General features: G+C 46.5%; 2 annotated features.

The window, feature by feature from the left end:
• Nucleotides 7541-8372: an enhancer, noted in NCBI's record as "OCT4-NANOG hESC enhancer chr1:48490345-48491176 (GRCh37/hg19 assembly coordinates)". NCBI's record gives its function as "activates a minimal SCP1, AML or CMV promoter by ChIP-STARR-seq in naive H9 embryonic stem cells {active_cell/tissue: H9 hESC(naive)}" and the evidence as "EXISTENCE:reporter gene assay evidence [ECO:0000049][PMID:30033119]".
• Nucleotides 16166-16666: an enhancer, noted in NCBI's record as "H3K4me1 hESC enhancer chr1:48498970-48499470 (GRCh37/hg19 assembly coordinates)". NCBI's record gives its function as "activates a minimal SCP1, AML or CMV promoter by ChIP-STARR-seq in naive H9 embryonic stem cells {active_cell/tissue: H9 hESC(naive)}" and the evidence as "EXISTENCE:reporter gene assay evidence [ECO:0000049][PMID:30033119]".

A 21597-nucleotide genomic window follows, 5' to 3' on the forward strand; every position in this document is an offset into this window, starting at 1 on the left:
GTGAATGAGAGAACTTAGAAAGAATGTATACAGAAGAAGAGTAGGACTAAGAATAGACCCTGAGGAGCTGAGCCATTTAAAGTAAAGTAAGAAGGGAGGAGGGTCCTTCAGAGGAAACTTGCCACAGGATCAGCATTACAGGGAAAAAAGTTTTACATCTCCTATGAAGGCACTTTGGAAGCTTAATTAATGACCATAATCAATCTTTTAGAATCCTTTTTACATCACTCTTACTCTGGAGAAAAAAAAAGCTCGTCAAATTGATGACCTTCTGTGATTTCAAAAGTATAGCACTTATTTTTAATGAGTTTGTTTCTAAGATGTTAGAGCGAGCAACCTTATTGGTAGTTGCCTCCATTTCCCCATTTATAAAATGGCCATAATGAGACTTACTTGATGAGGTTGTGGTGAGGGTGAAACTGGATTCTGGGAAAGTAAGAAATTTCTGCAGAATTAGGAAATCCTACTGTTATTCTTTATGATAGTACCAAGGGTTAAATTTGCTTTCTGTCTTTGACCTTTTTTCCCCATTCTGTGACTAACTTTTTTGTAAACTAATGTTCATTCCATTCTCATATATCTCTTCTGTCCCAGTTTCTCTGGGTTCCCCACGCCCAGCAGTTGGGAGGTCAGAAAGATACCATCTGCTGATTAATAAACAGACATGTATTCCTTCCTAAGTTGATTGAATCAGGGTGTCTCTTGACCCTAATTCTGGATGTTCATACATTCCACCACATATTCACTTATCTAAGGTCACACCCAGAGGCTCTGTGGCTGGGATGAATCACATCTGAACTGACCATCCTTCCTGGAACCCATGGGCTGCAATATGTGTGAGCTCAGCTGAAGTAAACACCTTCCACGTACTGAGAACAGGGCTGGCTCCTGGCGATCTAACATCTTACAGTCTACAGGGGCCCCTGATCAGTAAGGGCTGAGGATTGCAGATAGAATGTCTACTGAGCACCCCACGTGTTCAGTCCTAGGGTGGAGGGTGTTGATGGTGGAATAAAAACAATCAAGAGACTGGGTCCTAGCTCCTCAGGAGGAAAGAAGGTGGCTGAGGATGGTGGCAGGTTTGGAGTGAAAACTTAAGGCATGTATGGGCAGATTTTAATTTCTCTATCTAGATTAGATTTGGGGTCCAGATTTTGGGTCTAGCAGCCCACAACTCCCCAAAATGAATTATACTCTGCCTTAAACATCCAAAAATCTCTCAAGTCTCTCTGAGCTGATTGACTTCCATTGGCTCCCCTCTCACTCTGAAGCGTGTTTATTTCTCTGGGAGTTGCAGGCTCTCATGTTCTCAGGGCTTGGTGAGGGCCTGGGTCTGTACTCCTCCAAGTGGAAATGAAGAGCTACAGATTTATCTGGGCTCCATGGCCATCTTCCTTGCATTCTTTATCCCCCAGCTGGGTGTCCCAGAGACATTAATAAGGGGGGATTGTTTGCTTTTTCTTTCTTTTCTTTTTTTTTTTTTTAACATATTGAAGAAACAGAACGAAGCACAAAGCTAAGAAGAGTCAGTCATCCCTCTGCCTCAAAGTTTATAAGGGCAAAAAATCCTGTTATGAGGAACGGGTGAGAAGCACACCCACATTAATGAGTTTGCGTGGCACTTCCACTTAACACACAATAGTCTCAGGCCAAGAAAGTTTAAAGTGCTTCTCCAAAGTCTTGAAGAAAGTCAGTACTAGAATTGAGATTAAAATCCATGTGCTCTTCCTCTCAGCTCAAGCCTCCACCCTGTAAAGCAGGGAAGACTTAGGGCAGAGGAAGAAGGAGGCTGTGCGGCTCCGTAGGGCTGGGCACAGAGCCGGGGCAGGTCTGGACAGAGACTGGAGCTTGCGGTTATTCTCTTCAGGGCCTGCACTTGACTCACTGGGGGCTCAGGACAGTCCCTCCTTGCTTTCTGTTTTAGTCTGTTCTCCTGGAAGTTGGGCTTTTCAGAAGTGTTACCATGAACATAACAGGGCAGATCTGGGGTGGCAATGTGGGGGCTGGGGCTGTTTTGGTATGTCTAGGCTCTCCAGGCCAGCTCCACGCTGCATGCTCAGCACTGAAAGCAGGATCTGAAAACCAGTGGATGGTAAGTGGATATTGCTATTGTAGATGAAACTGAGGCTTGAGGGTCAGACAGATCTAAATTTAGAACCCCAATTTACTAATTCTTAGTTGTACCAACTTACATAAGCTTCTTTCTCAGACACGGTTTCCAAATTTGATTTTCACACCAACCTTTATGAAGAAGGCATATCAGAAAACTAAGAGTTAGTGAGAGTATGGCTAAGCCAACATAATACTAATAATACGAAGCTGATTTAGCTCTCATTCCATGCCAGGCATCATGTGTTAATATACACCTAAACTTATACCAGCTCTGTGAGGGAAATGCCATGCTTGTCCCATTTTATAGATAAGGAAACCAAGGTCTAAAAAGAGTAAGCCCTTTTTTGGTACCATGTATGTCCCTTAAGTGTTTCCTGAGGCAGGCAGAGAAATCCTTCCCACTTTACAGATGAGAAGCTGAGACATAAAGAGGAAGATAAACAATGGGCTCAGGGTCACCCAATAAGGAGTCAGTAGTGGAGCTGGCTCTGAGTCCAGATCTCCTGGCTCACAGCTCAGGGTTCTGTCACTGCCTATACTTGCCGGGCCCAGCCAAGCCCAAGGAGGGCATCCTGCCCTGGGGTGGTGCTCTCCTAGACCAGCCTCACCCCTCTTGCCAGAGAATCACGGCTCCATCCCCTGCCAAACAGCCTTGTTGCCCAACTTGAGGGTAGGAGCCAAGCCTGGCAGTCTTTGGTGGGCATCCAAGTCAAGTTGCTGTTTCCTGGGCTGAGTTTAGCATGTAGCATGGCTTCATCATCCAAATATGTCCTGCCAGACAGGCCTCAGCTGCTGGCCAGCGGGGCATTTGGCAGCCCAAGAGAGCTTGACGCTAATTGGGCCCAGCCGACATAAATCATGTCTCTCATTAAGAGGAAGTCCAGCCATTCTCTGGAAGGGGCAAGAGGTGGGGAAGGGGAAGAGCCTCCCACTGAAGGATTGAGTTCCGCCAGGGCCCAGTGACCTTATGTAATTGTGCAAATCACTCTGGCCCTCTCTGTCCATCTGAAGAGTGAGGAGGCTACACCCAGTGATCTCTGGTGGTTCATGCCAAACTAGAGGGCTGTCCTGTGACTTTTGTGTGTGGGTAATGTTGTCTTTCCTTTCTGCTTGGAGCACCACTGGGGCAGGTCTCATATTCTGTGATGGAGTGGGCTAAGAATCACCTGACTTGGGCGAGGTTAGAGAAAGTCCTTTCCATGAACAAAAGAACTCCCCAAGGGCAGCTTTGATATCTAGAACTTTTGTAGCAGAAAGCTTGGATTCACCTTGAAACAGAGTAAAGAGCTCCAGGAGGGGAGTGCTTCTAAACTAAGCTGGGTCACTTGTTGACAGATGGGTAGGGGGGAGTTTGAGAGGGTCTGTTTTGTCCTAACGGAAAATTTGAGCTGTCAGTGATGGTCAGCTGTGCTCAGATGAAACTGGAAAATGCTGGGTCAGTTTGAAGACAAATGATATCAATCTTACAACTCTGGCTTTCCTAAGCATGCGTCAACTTAAGCACCCATGCATTTATTAATACATTCACTCGTGCACTCACCATAGTAGGCACTAGCTACATTCCAAGTACTATTCTAGGCACTGAGAATATCAATGAATCTGACTCAATCATTGTTTTATTCAGAGCCATGGTCTACTGAGAAGAACAAGCACTTGAAAAATTGATTCTAAAATGTGTGATAAATCCTGTACCAATGAAATGTGCAGATTCTCTGAGTGGAGGAAGAAATTAGGGACTCTGACTTAGGTGGGGTGAAGGAGACAGGCAGGCTTCCCAGAGAAGGTGGCATCTCAGCAGTGCTTTGGAGAATAAGTTGAGAATACTGAAGAGGACAGTTAGAGCAGAGGAAAGGGCATGAGCAAAAGTTGAACAAGTTTATGTCCTTTGTAGGGGCATGGATGAAGCTGGAAGTCACCATTCTCAGCAAACTATCGCAAGGACAAAAAACCAAACACCACATGTTCTCACTCACAGGTGGGAATTGAACAATGAGAACACTTGGACACAGGAAGGGGAACATCACACACCGGGGCCTGTCATGGGGTCGGGGGAGGGGGGAGGGATAGCATTAGGAGATATACCTAATGTAAATGACGAGTTAATGGGTGCAGCACACCAACATGACACAGGTATACATATGTAACAAACCTGCACGTGGTGCACATGTACCCTAGAACTTAAAGTATATAAAAAAAAAAGTTGAACAAGTCTAAAAGGATACTATGGTCAGAGAACAGCAAGTAGTTTCATGTAGCATGAGGGAGGCTGCGTGAACAGCATTAGGGGGGCGCAGGGTGCAGGTGATGGAACAAAGGCCAGAGCTGAAGCTGGGGCTTGGCTGATCCAAAGATGTCCCACCTGGGAGGGGCTTTGTTCCAGTGATTTTCTACAGTTCCCAATCCTGTCTGTGCATCAGTATTACCTAGAAAGCATTTATAAAATGCAAATAGTCAGTCTTCATTCCTGAGATCCTGATTTAGCTGGTCTGGTGGGGTTCAGGAATCTGCATTTTTAAACAAGCTCTCCCAGGTAATTCTGAGGCAGCTAGCCAACAACTTAGCACTTTTTTAAAAATGTAAGATACTGATAAATGCAATGGAGAGAAATAAAGAAGAGGAGGAGACAGAGAATTCTTGGGGGGGTGGGGGTGACACAACTTTAAATAGTGTGATCAGGAAAGGAAGACCTGAAGGAGTGAAGGAGGTAGCCATGGGTAGATCTGAGAAAAGATCACTCCAGGTGGAGACAATAGCAGATACAAAGGTCCTGAGGCAGGGATGACTGATGTCCTGGAAGCCAGTGTTGCTGGAACACAGGAGATGAGGTCAGAGAGGTAATGGGAGCAGACTGTTTGGATAGGGCTTACTCCTGGCCTTTCTGTAACCATTGATTTAATCGAACTCATCCACCGTTTGGAGAAAAAACAGGCCTGGAAAAGGGACATTTTAATAGATGCATCTTCTCTGTGTCCTTCTTTTTCTCAAGGCTGTGTACTGGGCCGGGTGACTTGGTGGTGTAGAGGAGCATAGAGATGAATGGAATACAGACTCTGTCTTCCCAGGGATCCCAATCAGGGAGGGGCACAGGCTCATGCAATCCTTTCCAGTAGAAATACATGCTGCTATGCTGATTCTAGCTCTAACAGAAATGGCAGCTGCAGTTTGAGGTGGTCGTGGAGAGAGATGGGCATGTGAATGAGCAGACTGGGACAGAGTAGCTCCTTGAAGTTGGGGGTAGGGAGTGGGTCAGACTTCAACAGACACAGCAGGAACGACTTGCACAAGGAAACAGAACAAGTGCATGGCTGAGACTGACCCAGAATGGATGTCTGTTTGTGGTTTGGGGGAGGCAACTTGAGAGTATGGGGTCAGAAAGTCCTGGGTTCTGAGCCTGGCTCAGCCTTGACATTTGAGACCAATGTGGGCCACGTGTCTTTACCTCTTTGAGTCTCTCTGGCCTCAATTTCCCCATCTTTTCCATGGGATTAATCCCTACTCTGAATATTGACTATGAAAATTAATGAAGTAATGCACGGTCGTGTGTCTACAAGCCCAGGGGTTGGCATGTGGTAAATGCTCAGGAAGGGAACTTTGCATCACCCCCAGCATAATTTGATCTGTTTTTCTCCCCACGTACAACACCACTTTCTGCCTTCATGGAAGCTACTATGGGCAAGCTGCCACCCAAAGGTCCCACATAACAATTCGCAAAGCCCAATCCCGTTGGCCAATTGAGCTCCATATTTCAACTACACCCTGAAAGTGGCATTATTATTATTATTGCCCCATTTCATGGGTTAGGGGAGGTGGGAGGAGGGTAGCGTCATCCTTGAAGGAGCCAGGACTTCTCTGTGTTTTTTTCTTCTTTATTATGTTGACCTTCATGGCTGGGCCAAGGACACAGACCACTGAGGAGCTCTAGGAGCCAAAGGGAGCTGCTGAGTAGAGCCTGGAGCTGGGGAAGCTGTCCTAACCCCATCCACATGGAGGGGTCCTTGGTGACAGTGGTCATTTGGCCCTGCCCCTTCTGCCCCGCCTGGGCTCCCAGTTTGGCCATGCCCCAGCCCTACCCTCTGGGCTCAGCCTGGTGTGCTCTGCCTGGCCTAGAATAACCAATCAGCAGGGACCCCCTTCTAATTTCATTTAGGTTGCTGGGGATGGGGGTAGGTTCACACATACAGGTTAATGCTTTCTCTGCCAAGGATGGAACATTTCTGAGGCAAGTTCTTTGTTCTTTTGATCATTCATTCTTTCAATAAGCCCTTCCGTAGGTCTCTTTGGCACCGTTCCCTGGGTTGACACTGGGGATAAAGAGGCAAGTTAGACCTAGCCCTTGACCTGGACCACCGCCTCTGAGGAGGCAGACGCAGAGACCCATAATCACCAGCTGTGCTGGAGGGCTGTGAGAAAAAAACAAAGCCCAGGGTACGCAGAGATGAATTCTAGGCCAAGAAACGTTCCTCTCAGTCAGCATGGTCATTCATTTGTTCATTCAGCCAACACACTGACACCTGCTGGGCTCTGTGGGCCTGGGCCCTGGGGAGGCAGAGATGACTCAGACCATTTTTAAATTTTTTAAAAATCTCAGACCTTGAGGTGGTGGAGGATGGGCAGACACACTGAACTCTGAAATAGGTCATTAAAAAGAGAGTGGTAGGAAATTGGGGGTGGGATGGTGCAACCACTTTCCTGGGGAGGAGGGTTAGAGTAGTGGGCAGTGGGACAGCTTCTAGGACTTAGGCCTTGAAGAAGGGAAAGCCTTTAGCTACTTGGAGCTATGATGATGGGCTCCAGGGGAGCCACATTTACCACCTGCCGGGTGTCCTGGATAATTCTTATTTAAAAAATTAGGGTTTTAGTTGAATGGATATATCAATTATTGTCTGACTTTTGTGTTTATTATGTAATACTCTTTTCACTAAAGGTATTATGTGTTCAAACTTCCTAACATTTGATTACTTTGATCAAACTTTTTGGAAGAAGAAATTAAATAAGAATAGGCCATTTTTTAGACCACATGTTCTGATTTCTGATTCAGAAGCATCATTTCTATACTTATATCCACACAGCCAGGGTCTAGTTTGACCCCTTCGCCCAACCACAATGTGTCTCAGGAAAGATTCTGTCCTCAGTCATCTCCCCTGAAGCAAGGTAGAGGTAGGGTGGGGGTGGATAAGAAAAGAGCCCTCACCAGGTAGATGGCTGGGTGGAGTTAGCATTTGAAGCTTGGAATGACCCAGGCCTCAAGAAAGTTCAAGGATCAGGGTGTCTTGGCTATATTCATGGTTAAGGACAAGGGATTTTGAATCAGCTGCAGCTGGGTTTAGTCCATTGTCAGATACATATGTCTGGACAAGACAATTAACTAATGTACCTATGCCTTGTGCAATTTCTGTAGGATTATTGGCAACATTATATGAGATAATGCCCTGTATCTGGCATTTAGTGAAGACTCGAGGAAAGGTGACTGATAAATTAATGGTAGTAGTTGGAGGACCTCAAGTCTGCAATGGATATGACTTTTGAAGCCAGAACCCTCACAGCCTCTGAGATCCTGTTACCACCAGGACTGTCATCCAGCTCTCCCTCCCCACTTACAATTCACACCCATCTGAGCAGGTGTGATCAGGGGCCAGAAGCTGAAGTGCTCAAAAATCCTAATAACACACTGAATGAAGACAATGTCAGCCCTGGGGCTGCCATGTGAGGATCTGAGCCTGCCCCCACCCCATCCCCCCTAAAGCAAGCAGCACCTATTTGGCTATCACTTCAGAAAAGACCTAGAGCTCTGCTTCCTGCCCAGGGTCCCTGCCCCTTTAAAAGACTCTGTCTTCTCATCTTCATTCTGCTGGTTCTATCCATTACCCCTGAATGGAAATTGAAGCTTAATTTTTCTTGCTTGAAGCCATTAACACTCTGGGCCCTTGACAGGAAACACAGCTCAGCTTTAATTAGCCACAGCAAGCTCCCTGCATAAGCTTCTAGCACAGCCCAGGGACTTCAAAGATAAAGACTTCTCCATTCTTGCTAATCACAGCTATTAATGAGCCAATTAAGGCTGACTGGGGCCAGGGCAGGCAGCTCTCTTAGTACCTTAGGCAGACAGCTCTGTCCTGTTGCTGGGAAGCTCCTCCCCCTACAAAGCTAGAGTCTGGTGTCCTTGGGAGCAGAATGACAGGGATTTGATGTCCCCTCTGGGTTGGGACCCCAGCTCTGCAGCTTATCTGCTGTGAGTCCTAGGACTGAACAAATGTCCTTTCTGAGATGCTTTCTACAACAAAAAATAATAATGCTATTTTCATGAGAAGCTAGTATTATAAGGGGAGTATAGGTCAGAGGTTCTCAAACTTGAGCGTGCTTCAGAACCACCCTGAGGCCTCATTAAAACTCTTGACTGGGCTCTACCCTGACTTTCTGACTCAGGTGTTCTGGGAGGCGTGGTGTGCAAGAATTTGCATTTTTAACTTGTTCCCAGATGATGGTGATGATGGTAGTTCAGGGACCACATTTGAGAAGCCCTACTCCAGACTACATAAGGGGTTGTACAAATGTGAGCTATTACTTAAAGATTTTGATTGTATTTCCCTCAATAAGTGTCTCCCCGCCACTTTCCTTAACCTATGTCTCCTATGGCAATTTCTAGGAGCTTCCCATCTGGGCTATCAATACTTGGACACCCCAGCATTTGTCACTGTGGTGCCCTGATAGTGTATAATACTCCAGGTACGCTCAGTCCTAGGCAGAAATTGGCAGGACCACTTCTTTGCCCAATCTTGGTACCAAGATTCCAAATCCTGACATTGACATCTTAAGTCTCCAGCATCTTCTCTGGAAGGACAAATGCATTGGGACCTCTGATTCCAGAGAAAGCAGAGAGCATGGAGCCTTTAGAAGTCTTTTTTTCGGAAATGAACTGCATGGTGGAGGCTGGGAAGGTGGAAATGTGCAGAAAGGAAGATATTCATTGCTGGAGGCCATGCTTCTTTCACCTGAGCATTACAGTGTGGGGAACATAAGCAATGGGATGGTGGTAGGACAATGCATGTGGTTTAGGGGGGATTGATTAGAATTTTCTACTGATGGCCTAACTAATGTCTAACTAAAGTCCTTCCTGCTGCATTCTGCTGTTTCCTTAGGCAATAGGGACACGTACTCATATTTATTTCAACTACTGGCTCCTGCTTGCAACACCTGATAGCATGACTCAGAGTCACACTGAGCTTCTGGCTTTAAAGACAGGCTTTTGTGGTCAAAGAAGACAACAGTTCATGGACTTAAGATGTTGAGTTTCAGCTGAGGCTGTCTTCTCCTGGTCCTGACCCCTCATGCTGCTCACTCTCAACTCTGTGCCTTTTCTCTGTTGCACCACCTCACATACCCTTCTTCCTACTCCCTCTTATTCACGTCTCATTCAGCTTTCACCACCCACCTCAGATTTCTCAGAGAGCTTGTTCCTGAATACTGCCATTTTGATGATCTTTGCTTTATAGATAGCGTATCTCAAAGTGTGTGCCCAGGGGCTTTGGAGGATGTTATTATAGAAGCTATAATGCAACTGAGGTGTCCCTCAGGAATGTTAGGCTAGGTAAAGTTAGTCTGGTGTCTTCTCTGCAGGACTTCTCAGAGCCTCGAATATGCGACTGTGGTTTGGGAAACTTAAGAGAAATGCTTAACAAGCAGCATTTTCTAAACACGTCACCACAGTATGCATAATGTACTCTTTTTCCCACAGAGGATCTTGCTTTGATGTGGAGGAAGTAGGCCCTGAAGGACAGATGACTTTAGAAAAGCTTCATAGTCCAGCCAACTTGGGTTCCAATTCCAGAACTTATCTCTTTGAGCCTATCCTTTCATCTGTAAAATTGAGATAGTGGCCCTTACATTGGACAGCTGTTGCAAGATTTACGTGAGATGACATGAGAAGTGCCTAGCCCGGAGTGAGGTATACAGTAGGGGCTCAATAAGTGTGTAATTTCTCCTCCTCCTTTTGCCTTTGCTAGTGGACTTTTACAATCTGAATCAAGAATGAACTGTACAAAACAGGATGTGTTGCACGTACTTGGCATATGAGAGTGAAGCCACAGTCAGGTGCACAGGGTTGGAGGAGTAAGAGCTCGTAAGTGACCAGTGCAGTCCAAGCAGGCTTCCTGGAGGAGGCGAGTCTTTGCTGGGTCAGATTCCAAAGATTAGTTCTCCAACAAAATCCTGGGATGGGGGAGGTGGGGAGATTTGAGAACTGCATCTCTCTGTGAGCAAGCTATGGCAAGAATCCTTCTCTTTATTTTCCTTTTCCACCCTGGAGGCCTACTTCCCCACCAAATCCAGCTGATGCAGCACTTGCCTTCCCCTCCCACAGCCTGAACTTAGCCAACATCTCAAGTTCGCAAGGTGTGAACCTCAGAGTAGGGCCCTCCTGGCTTGTGAAAATTCGCTTAGCAAAGCCTCTCTGGCTGCCTTCTGTGCTAGTGCCCTCTGGAAGCTCTAGGCAAACAGGTCACCAGACCCAAACAATCTGGGATGCTGCCTTGGGGCCTACTTACCCTAACCTTGTCCATAGGTTGAGGGGGAAGAGATAGTTTTGTAGATTTTCTCTCTGAGACTCTTTATCACCTCCTGCTCCCTGGCCCCCAGCAACCAACCATTTCAGGAAACCTCACTTTGAACCAGGCACATCTGCTCCAAGGTCCTTTAATCTCTGTAATATACCTAAAACAAGCATTAAAATTCCCATTTTATAGATGAGAAAACAAAGGCTCAGTTAGCTTGAAAACAAGCCTGTTTGGTCCAAAGTCCAAGTTTTCTCCACTGATGCTATGAAGCCCTGGATTTCCCTTAGTGCCTTTTCTAGTTAATCTGGCATGTCACCACCTCCAGAAAGCCTTCCTAGTCATCACTCAAGGCCATGCTCATATCCCCTTCTCCTGAGTGTCTGCAATTGGAACCACATTGCGCACTTTCCTTTAATCCATATTTCTGGGCAGAAAAGGACTGAGTTAATGTTCTGCCACTGTATCCTAGTGCTTGGAACAGCACACATATTAATCTTCATGGAGAGAAGGAATAAAGAGGTATGATTTTTGAGACTACATGGACATATCATGTACTTTGCATCCCTGTCAGTCCTGAGTCACTCAGTATCTTTCACACTGTCCACAATTCTTCACCCTCCTCTTACACCACACATGGGTGTTTCCGGGCTGGGCTCACAGGTACTCACTGACTCGACTTTGTAACACGTCACCTGGTTTACCCTCCTGCACATCGGTTTGCTTCTCAGGTTTCGTCAAGGCCTCCAAATATTCATGAGCAGACCCCTGTGGCTAGACCCACTCAGGAGGGGCCCCGTAAGATCTCGGCTCCAATTCTCTACTCATGAACTAGCTGCAGTTCAGCATGCCCGCCTCAGACCCACCACCGGCCAAAACTCCCTTCAGTGATTAGCGGAGGTGGCAGGGAAATTATGAAAACCATGTGACAGGTAAATGGCTGTTTCTGCAACTTTCTTAAGTTTCAAAGGGATAACAGAATGCTTTGCTCCAGCATGTGGGCTGGGAATTCAGGCTTTGCAAGTGCTTTCCAGAACACACAGGGAAGAGCAGACCTACCAGGATTCTGCGTTTCCCTTTAGTGGAGTACAGCTGGGCCTCTCTGCCTGAGGGACTGAGCCTGTTCATAGAATGGGCTTCATGCAAACACGATGGCTTTGTTCCCCTGTGTGAAGATGAGACATGCAAGTGAGTTCTGAGTAGAAAGAGCTTCTTCTCTCAAACCCCAGGCTATTGTAACTTTAAAATTTATCTCAAATCTGTCTCTTTTGGATTTTTTTTTTTAAGATGGAATTTCACTCTTGTCACCCAGGCTGGAGTGCAGTGCGATCTCGGTTCACTGCAACCTCCACCTTCCAGTTTCAGGCGATTCTCCTGCCTCAGCCTCCCAAGTAGCTGGGATTACAGGCACATGCTACCATGCCTGGCTAATTTTTTTTAGTAGAGACAGGGTTTCACCATGTTGGCCAGGCTGGTCTCGAACTCCTAACATTGTGATCCCCCTGCCTTGGCCTCCCAAAGTGCTGGGATTAGAGGCGTGAGCCACCACGCCTGGCCAATCTGACTCTTCACCATTCACATCACTACCTCCCAGGTCCAAGCCACTGTTGTCTCTTGCCTAGTCTGCTGCAGTGGGCTCCTAACTGGCCTCCCTGCTTCCAGCCTTTCCTACTACAAACCATTCTCTACGCAGCAGCCATGGCATCTTCTTGCCATTATAAATCAGATCATGTCCCTCCTATGCTTAAAACCCTCAAACAGATCACTCAAGCCCAGGAGTTGGAGGCTGCAGTGAGCTATTGTCGTGGTACTGCACTTTAGCCTGGGCAACAGAGCAAGATTTTGTCCCTAAAAAAAAAAAAAAAAAAAAAAAAAAAAACTCTCAAATAGCTTCCAATTACAATCTTTACCATGTCTTAAATCACCACTCTTGCCTGTCTTCCTATTGCCACATCTTCCACTCTGTCTTGTTCTCCATGATCCAGCCACAGTAGCCACTTTCCTGTTCCTTGAACAATCTAACCTTAGTCTGTCACTTTTGTCTTTGTACTCCCCTGGAAGGCTTCTTCCAGATCCTCTCAGGGCTGGCTGCTTTCATAATTCAAGCTCAAATATCACTTCTTGGAGAGGTCTTCACTGACCATTCTACAGAGTAGCCTCTGTTATATCTGCTATTCTATCGTTTTCACACTAATCATCTCTATACCAAGAAATTTTGTGTATTTGCTTCCGTATTTCTTTTCTGGTGTCTCCAGCTACAATCGAAGCTCAGTGATGGCAGAGATGATGTTGACTCTCTTTGCTGATATATCCCCAGTGCCTCTAGCACTCCTGGTGCTGAACACTTGATAGATAAATATCTTTGAATGATTGCATGGAGTGGCATCTCAGCATACAAAACTTTATGGGAGAAGGCCTTTGTGGGCTTTCTGGGTGAGCCATAAATGATGGGTAGGATTTGCATAGGCGGAGAGAATCAGAGCAGGTATCCCAGGAAGCAGGCTTGGCAGGGAGCGTGAGTTGAAGGATTGGAAGGAGAGAAGAGTACAAAAGAGAGCACCGCAGCAGCAGGGAGGCTGAGTGCCCAGCAGAGACAGAGATAAAGTTAGTTCTGCACCTAGGCCAGAGGCAGGGGTGGGGGACACAGGTGGTGGGGAAGGGGCAGGCTCTGGATGCCCTTGAAGGCCAGACAGGAAAGCTCCTTGTACCTTTTCCCTCTGCCCCCTGCCCACCTCTGCACGGTTTCCAAATCCATTCCCTGCATCTTTCTTTTTTGTAGGCATATGGTATTATTTCCAATTGAAAATGTAGATGGGAGTCACAGGAATGTATAGAGTCACATAATAAATGGAAATGAAGCTCACCTCTGCTTAGGCTGAGCAATGTACTTGCCAATAAGGGGTCCTTGCCAATACGGCTCACATAGAGAAGCCAGGGCAGGATTTGTCTGGATGGGTAGGAATAGCAAGTCATAGAATCTTTGCCCACAAATGGGCTTAAATGGAATCCAGCTACAGAATCCTTGAGTCACACACTTTCAGAACACAGTGCTCTACAGACTCGCAGAGGCCATCTGGTCCAACCTCCTATGCCCTTTGGCCTCTTGTCCAAAAGGCCATCAGTTGCTCCTGGCACACCTCCAGTGATGGAAAGCTCCCTGCTCATGTCACCGAATGGCCCTGACTCTCAGAAAGCCTTCCTTTTCTTCATATGGAAATGGATCTAGTTTCCCTAGAATTCTTCTCCCCAGACTTCTCTCTGTTTCTGGGGCTGCCCACTCTGCCCCCAGGCAGCATGGTGGACATATAATGGCAGCTGTCACATCCTCCAGGGCTTTCTGGCCAGACCCACACTCTGGGCCTTCCACTGCCTCCTCAGTGTGGCTTCTGGGCCCTCCCCATGCTGAGCACCTCCTCCAGGCTTGCCCTCCTCATCATCACTCTGCTTCCATTACTTTGAGGAACATCTTCAAAGCAGGGTGCCAGGTACCCCTGGAGGCAACTCCTACTTCGAGACCACACACATCATTGCTGGTGGGAATATACCATAGTACAGCTGCTGTGAAAAACAGTATGGCAGTTACTCAAAAACTTAAACATAGACCCAGCAATTCCGCTTTTTAGTATGTACTCCAAAGAATTAAAAGCAAGGACTCAGACACGTATTTACCAATGCTCATTGCAGTGTTATTCACAATAGTCAAAGAGTTGAAACAACCCAAATATTCATCAATGGGTAAATGGGTAAATTAATATGTGTATATACATACAATGGAATATTATTCAGCCTTAAAAAGGAAGAAAATCTATCATGTGCTACTACATGGATGAACCTTGAAAACATTATGCTAAATTAGCTAGACACAAAAGGACAAATATTGTGTGATTTCACTGTTATGAGGTACCTACAATAGGCAAATTCATGGAGACAAAAAGTAGAATAGTGGTATGTGTGTGTTGGGGGTTAGTGAACAGGGAGTTATTGTTTAATGGATACAGAGTTTCTGTTTGGAATGATGAAAATGTTCTGGAAATGGATAATGGTGATGGTTGCGCAACATTGTGAATTTTTTTTTTTTTTAAGAGACAGGATCTCACTCTGTCACCCAGGCTGGAGTGGAGTGGTGAGATCATAGCTCACTGTAGCTTCAAAATCCTGGGATCAAGTGATCCTCCCACCTTAGCCTCCTGCGTAGCTGGGACTACAGGCATGCACCACCGTGCCTTGCCTGGCTAATTTTTTTTTTAGTAGAGGTAGGGTCTTGTTATGTTGACAGGCTAGCCTTGGAACTCCTGAGCTCAAGCAATCCTCTTGCCTTAGCCTCCCAAAGTGTTGAGATTACAGATGGGAGCCCGCCTCGGCCTCCCAAAGTGCTGGGATTATAAATATGGTAAATTTTTAAAGATAGATTTACCTTAATAAAAACATTTTTTTTTTTTGAGACGGAGTCTTGCTCTGTCACCCAGGCTGAAGTGCAGTGGCGCGATCTCAGCTCACTGCAAACTCCACCTCCCGGGTTCACACCATTCTCCTGCCTCAGCCTCCTGAGTAGCTGGGACTACAAGCACCCACCCACGCCCGGCTAATTTTTTGTATTTTTAGTAGAGATGGGGTTTCACCATGTTAGCCAGGATGGTCTCGATCTCCTGACCTCATGATCCGCCCGCCTAAGCCTCCCAAAGTGCTGGGATTACAGGCGTGAGCCACCGCGCCTGGCCTAAAAACAATTTTTTTTAAAAGGCCACACATATCTACCCTCTGTTTCTTGCCAAACATCAGTCAAACACCAGGCATTCATAAGGTGCCTACTAAGTACAGAGCCTGTCTTAACACACTGTGGGCTGATGTGACTAGCAGTAGGGACTGCCCCTGTTTACACTCACAATAATAACCAAGCACTAGCTTAAGCAATTAACAAGCATTCCTTTATGTAATCCACACAGATTTCTCAAGTAACTATCATTGTACCAATTTGATAAATGGAACTGAGGCGAAGTAGCTTGCTTAAGATTACATAGATGAGCTCAGGATTTAAATGTGAATGTCTCATTCTAGAGGTTAGGTTTTTAATCATTATACTTGCCTATTTCTTGAAATAAACATGGGAAATGCTTAAGAGCAAACACACACACACACGCATGCACACACACATGCGCGCGCACACACACACCCCTGAGATGGTTCAATGGGTGAAATGTGTGCAAAGGTTTCTTATAAAAGGGAGTGGCCATAACCCCACGAGTGGACAACTCTTCTCTCTCATCGGCTGCTCTTTCCTCAGTGAGTATTTGTTGAATGGTGCCTGTTGAATGACCATGGGTGTGTCCTGAAATCAGATTTCCTGAAGGAGGTGGCCTTTCAGCTGGGTCCCTTGGTTTGGGGAGAAGAAAGGAAAGAGCAGCTCAACCTGGACTTTGTCTGGAAGCCTGGGCTGACCTCCAGGCTGGGCTTTCAGAAGCCTGTGTCCGTGTGCCCTCCTTCATCCCCAGGATTCCTTGTTGATGGAACCTACAGCATCATGGGCTGAGCTTGTCAGTTCCCTGCCCAGCTAGATGGGCATTGCTGGCAGTTAGGGCCCTGTCTAATCCTCTCTGTGCCCAATGCCCAGCTGGGGGCTGGCACAGAGTTGGTGCTCTGTAATTTCTCATGGAACAGAAGAACAAAGTGGGGGTTGGAGAAACTCTACAGAAGAGTTCAGCTATGAGGAGCTCTTGTTCAATTCTCCTTATTTCCCTATAATTAGAACAAATTCCCTGTTAGCTCAGTTTCCATTCCCAAAGATGGGAGGAATTCAGGAAACTTCTCCCAAGATGCCGAGCCCCATTCTCAGTCTGACTGTCTAGACATATGACCCCCAGGCTGCCCTTGGCATGATCTTGCGCAGAGCTGGTGGGGGCTGCAGCAGCAGCTGGGGCACATTACGTCTGGGGCTGGCAAGGCATCCGTTCTGGGCTGAGGAGTCCTCATCTTGGAGAAAAGCAGCCCTGACTAAATGGCTGAGGCACATACCTGGCTGGCAGTTGCTTGTGCACATGAAGGCTGGGCTACTGCTGCGATGCACAACCCCACGGGGCATAATTCACATAGAATACAGAGTGGACGGTGTTCCCTGGAGTTGTGTATTGCTGCCGTACCGGGCAGAAGCGAGGCTGCTGGGGACAAGCCTATCATTGGGGCCATCCCAGCTATATGTGAGCCTGATGTCCTCAGAGCTCCATTGCCTGCCCAGGATCCCTCTGTTCTGTGGCCTTGGATCTCCCACTGTTTGCACTGCATGTTACTTGGATTGAACTTCTCTTGCCTCCAAGTGAACAATCCAGAGTTATGAAGGAGTACAGGACAGACCAGAATCCAGACCTCAATGATCCACTTCTTAGCTGTGTGACCCTGGAAAAATTACTTGGCCTCTTGGAGTTTCAATCTTCTTAGTAAATTGCAGATAATAGAACCTACCTTCAGAGTTCTTAGAAGTATTAAATGAAATAATATTAATAAAGTGCTTCGAACAGTGCCTGGCACATAATAAGTTTTATATAAATGTTGGTTAAATGAATGCAAATTTATGTAAGTAAGTCAAGTTCAATCCTAGAACTTGGGAGGTGGTAGAAAAATGATTGCGGGATAAGTGAATAAATGAAACCTGGATCTGCATTCTAAGCTTACCAGGAACATGTGATGTGGCTTTGGGTAAGTCCTGTGCCCTCTCTGTGACTTCCTTACCCATTTGTACAACTGGAGTCTGTGACAAAATAATCCTGAAAGTCTCTTCCAGTTTGAAATGCTACAACACAAAAGTTTGTAACACTAGATCCACCATCCTCCTTCAGTAAGCTCTAGTCTTGATCTAGTTCATTCCCAGCTACCCTCTGATGCACAGGCCTGCAGCCTAGAAGATCTGGGCCTTCTGTGCTGCATAACTCAGGCCCTATGCACATGACTGGGCCAGGGACTATAATGACAGATCAGTTCTGGAAAACAATAAGGCCAGCAGAGTGCTCCAGAAGGTCTACCACTGAAGTGGCCTCAGGGGAGAATTGAGAGAAAAGGGCAGTGGAAAGCTGGCATTGGAGGTTTCTTGATCCTGGGGAATTTAGAGCCACTGCAAAGTGAATTATTCAAAAATAGGAATTTGCTTCTCCTCCCAGCCTCAATAGACTGCCTCTGCAGAGAGAGAGGTTTTGGCTTAATTTGGCCAAGCTCACAGTTGAACACATTCCTCTTTTGGAACTAGTCTGGTTGGTGGATGGAGGGCTCAGAACTAGTCTGATAGGGGGATGGAGGTGCTATGGGAGAAATTAGAAGATGGTCTCTTCAGGTGTCCCCTACACGGACATAGAATGTGCCAAATAAATGTGGAGGGGGTATCCTTGATCATCATATGGCGTTTGTGGCTTAGTAGGCCTCAGAGTTGTCTTGTGTGGTCCTTTTAGATGGAGAAACTGAATCCCATGGAGGAAAAAGACCAGCTCAAGGTCATTCTGGAGCAAACTAAGTTTATGTCAGAGCCAAGGCTAAGATCTGGGTCTCCTGACCCTAAAGTTCACTGATTCCTACTTCTTTAGACATGCAGCTTCTGCACCAGCCACAATCAGCATAAACTAGTGCAATGAACAATTTTACATGCTGATATTTATTCAATACTCACTTACTAAGCCTTTGCATGTGCAGGTTGTGAACCAGGCATAGTCATGGACAAGGGTAATGCTTGAGATGGGACAGAGATGAACCAGCTGCTTGACCTCCAGCTGCTTAGGCAAGAACATTAGCAGCCTGAGAATAGATGCTTTCAAAGGAAAGAGCAGGGGGAGGGATGCACATCTGGCTAGAAGGGGGAGGGGGCAGAGGGCTGGGAATTGGAAAGCCTCTCTTGTTTTCTATTTTCTCATTCTCATTTGTCTTATATCCTCTCCTTGTGTAAAAGAGGGATTAAGTCTCTCTCATTAGCCTGGGAGCTCCCTCTAACTGGCTATCTGATTCAGCCTCTCCTCTGCCAACCTCCAGCATGTCCTCCCATTGAGTCTCCAGCCTCCAGCATGCCCTCCCATTGAGAACCAAGTTTCAGCATGCCCTCCCATTGAGAACCAACCTCCAGCATGCCCTCCCATTGAGTCTCAGCCTCCAGCATGTCCTCCCACTGAGTCTCCAACTTCTAGCCTATCCTCCCATTGAGTCTCCAGGCTCCAGCATGTCCTCCCACTGAGTCTTCAACCTCTAGCATATCCTCCCATTGAGTCTCCAGCCTCCAGCATGCCCACCCATTGAGTCTCCAACCTCTACCATGTCCTCCCATTGAGTGTCCAGCCTGTAGCATGCCTTCTCATTGAGTCTCCAAGGTTTAGCATGAGCTTCTATTGAGCCTCTAGCCTCCAGCATGCCTCCCCATTGAGCTTCTAGCCTCCAGCATGCCCTCCCATGCAGTCTCCAATAGATGGCCTCCCATTCAGTCCCCAACAGCAGGACTTCTCAATGAGTGGCCCTCTGGCTTTCCCCAGCCCAGATCCTGCTTGGCTCAAGCCACATCATATCCCACCTGATGTGTTACTGAGCTCCTCGTCTCCAGCCCCCACCAGTCTTGTGATTCCTGCTTACTGGTTCTAGAGTGGCTTTTCTGAAGCCAAACAATCTTTAGGAACTGAGTTTTGTAGGAATCTGACATTGCTTCCAATTCTCCTCAGAGCTGTTCTGGGACATGTACAGCCAGAGAGGGTCTGTGCGGCCCCAGAGGTCAGAGTTAAGACCAGTGGGAGGAGCACAGGGGGCAGGTTTCAGCTCTGAGGGAGGTAGCACAACTACCAGCCAGAGAGTCTACTGTTGTAACAGACTGCTCTGGGGCAGAGAAGATAGGGTAGTAGTGGTTTCCCCCATCAGTAGAGGTGTGTGAGCAGGAGTTTGAGACCTCTTTTCTTCCTCCAACATTGTAGAGGATTCTTAGGCATCAAATACAGGTGTCGAATTCCAAACCAGGACCCAAGATTGTAAACACTCCACTGCACTGTCTCTATTTCCATGTCTGCATCCCTTCTTGGGCTGGGAGCAATTTGAGAGCCTTTGTGGTTGGAAATAAGCATGTGGGTCTGATTCATCTCCAGAGCCTAGCACTTGCTAGGTTCAGTAAGCACTTGCTGAGTGAATGAATAATGTGTAAGCTTCTGAGATTCCGGAATTACTGATCCCGGCCTCTGCAGCTGAGGAATGGCAGGGACTTGGTGTGGAAAAAAGGCTCCCCTCTGACTGCCAGTCTCTGAGAGCTCCCTACTTCAAAGGGCTTGTAGAGAAGAAGGGCTTTCTGGAGTAAGTGAGATCCTGCCCCAACCCTCCCCTCCCCTTTCCACATACACACCAAATGTGCACATGAAAATCTAGCTTTCTTATCTGCCTAGGCTCAGATTTGGCACCCTGGGGCTTAAAAGGCTAAGGGGAGGGAACTCACAATCCATCCAGATGTCCTTAAAGGCCTCCAGCTGTGGACCATAGGACATTGCTCCTTCTGAGGTGTCAGTTCCAACTTCTACCTGCATGGAGGTGTGAGGCCCTGCAGAATGGGAATGGAAGAGGCTGCCTGGAAATAGGAAAGGCAGAGAATATCAACGAGGGCAGCAGAACTGGCTGGAAGGATTCCAGGAGAGGGAGAATGAAAGGGGACAAATAAGGCAGAGGTTCTCACTTTTGGAGGGGAATTCTCTAAAGAGGACAGAGTCCTTAATTCACGTGTGATGAGTGAATGACTGGAGATGGATGGTTGAGTGGATGACTGGAATGAATGGCGGTCCATTCAAGGACTTCTTGAAAGTTTTCTTAGGCTCTGTGCAAAGAGTCACACCCAACGTCTGTCCCCAACGAGATCACAGTAAACAGATGGATGAGACCACAGTTGTAATTCAACATGGGGACAGACCTTGAAAGATGGAAAGGGTGTGGCTACAGGCTGAGGACAAGGTTGAGCCAAATTCTCAAAGAGAGTTCAGGGTCACTTCCATAGGATTTGAGAAGCTCTGAACATTTCATGAACCACTTTGAGGTGAAATTCAAAATGGCCAAATATCTTGGTTGGTGTTAAGTTTATGCCTTCTTAAATTGGGCTTTGGTATGGGTAAGATATAGTATTAGGATAAATAGCTAATGCGTGCGGGGCTTAATACCTAGGTGATGGGTTGATGGGTGCAGCAAACCACCATGGAACACGTTTACCTGTGAAACAAACCTGCATGTTGTACACATGTATCCTGGAACTTAAAATAAGATTAAAAAAAAGATACAGTAGGCATAAAAATTCATGAAAAACTTATGGAAGAAAATTAAAAATAGAGAAAACCATATTCTTAATGTAATTTGTTTGAGTGTGAATTGAAAACTTAAATGGGAAGTGTACTCTCTGTACATTGTTTCATTTAATACACTTCATATGAGAATTATTACACATACTTTTCATATAGGAATGCTTGAGTTCAGGGAGGTTAAATAACTTGTTCACAGTTCCACAGCCAAAGGGGCAGAACTGAGATCTGGTGCTTCAGTTCTGACTTGGAAGCCTGCTAATCTGTATTATACCACAGGGATCTTAAGATCCATCTCAGCAGAAGGACTCCCGAGTACAACTCCTGGAATTCCTGAGCCCACAGGAACAGAGCTTGGAAGCTTTGAGTCTGAACAAAGACCTGGAGGCAGGAGAACCAGGGGTGAGCTTGTTGGAGTAGTTACTCTTCATCATGACAGAGGAGAGTGTTTGCTTAAGGGAGGGGAGGGAGCTGACGCTAAGAGGGGGATTTGGGCCTGTGCACTGGGGGCTTTGAACATGAGACCAAGAGCTGCTCACACTTTGCAATGCCCCTAGTATAGAGTTAACATCAAATAGCTATTTGTTGGAAATACTTGCAAGCCAAGAAAATGCAAAAATAAGCTTGGTATTGTGGGGGAAAAATGAGATTTGAGTTATTTCAAT

Source organism: Homo sapiens, chromosome 1, assembly GCF_000001405.40.
Source record: "Homo sapiens chromosome 1, GRCh38.p14 Primary Assembly".
NCBI classification, from domain to species: domain Eukaryota; kingdom Metazoa; phylum Chordata; class Mammalia; order Primates; family Hominidae; genus Homo; species Homo sapiens.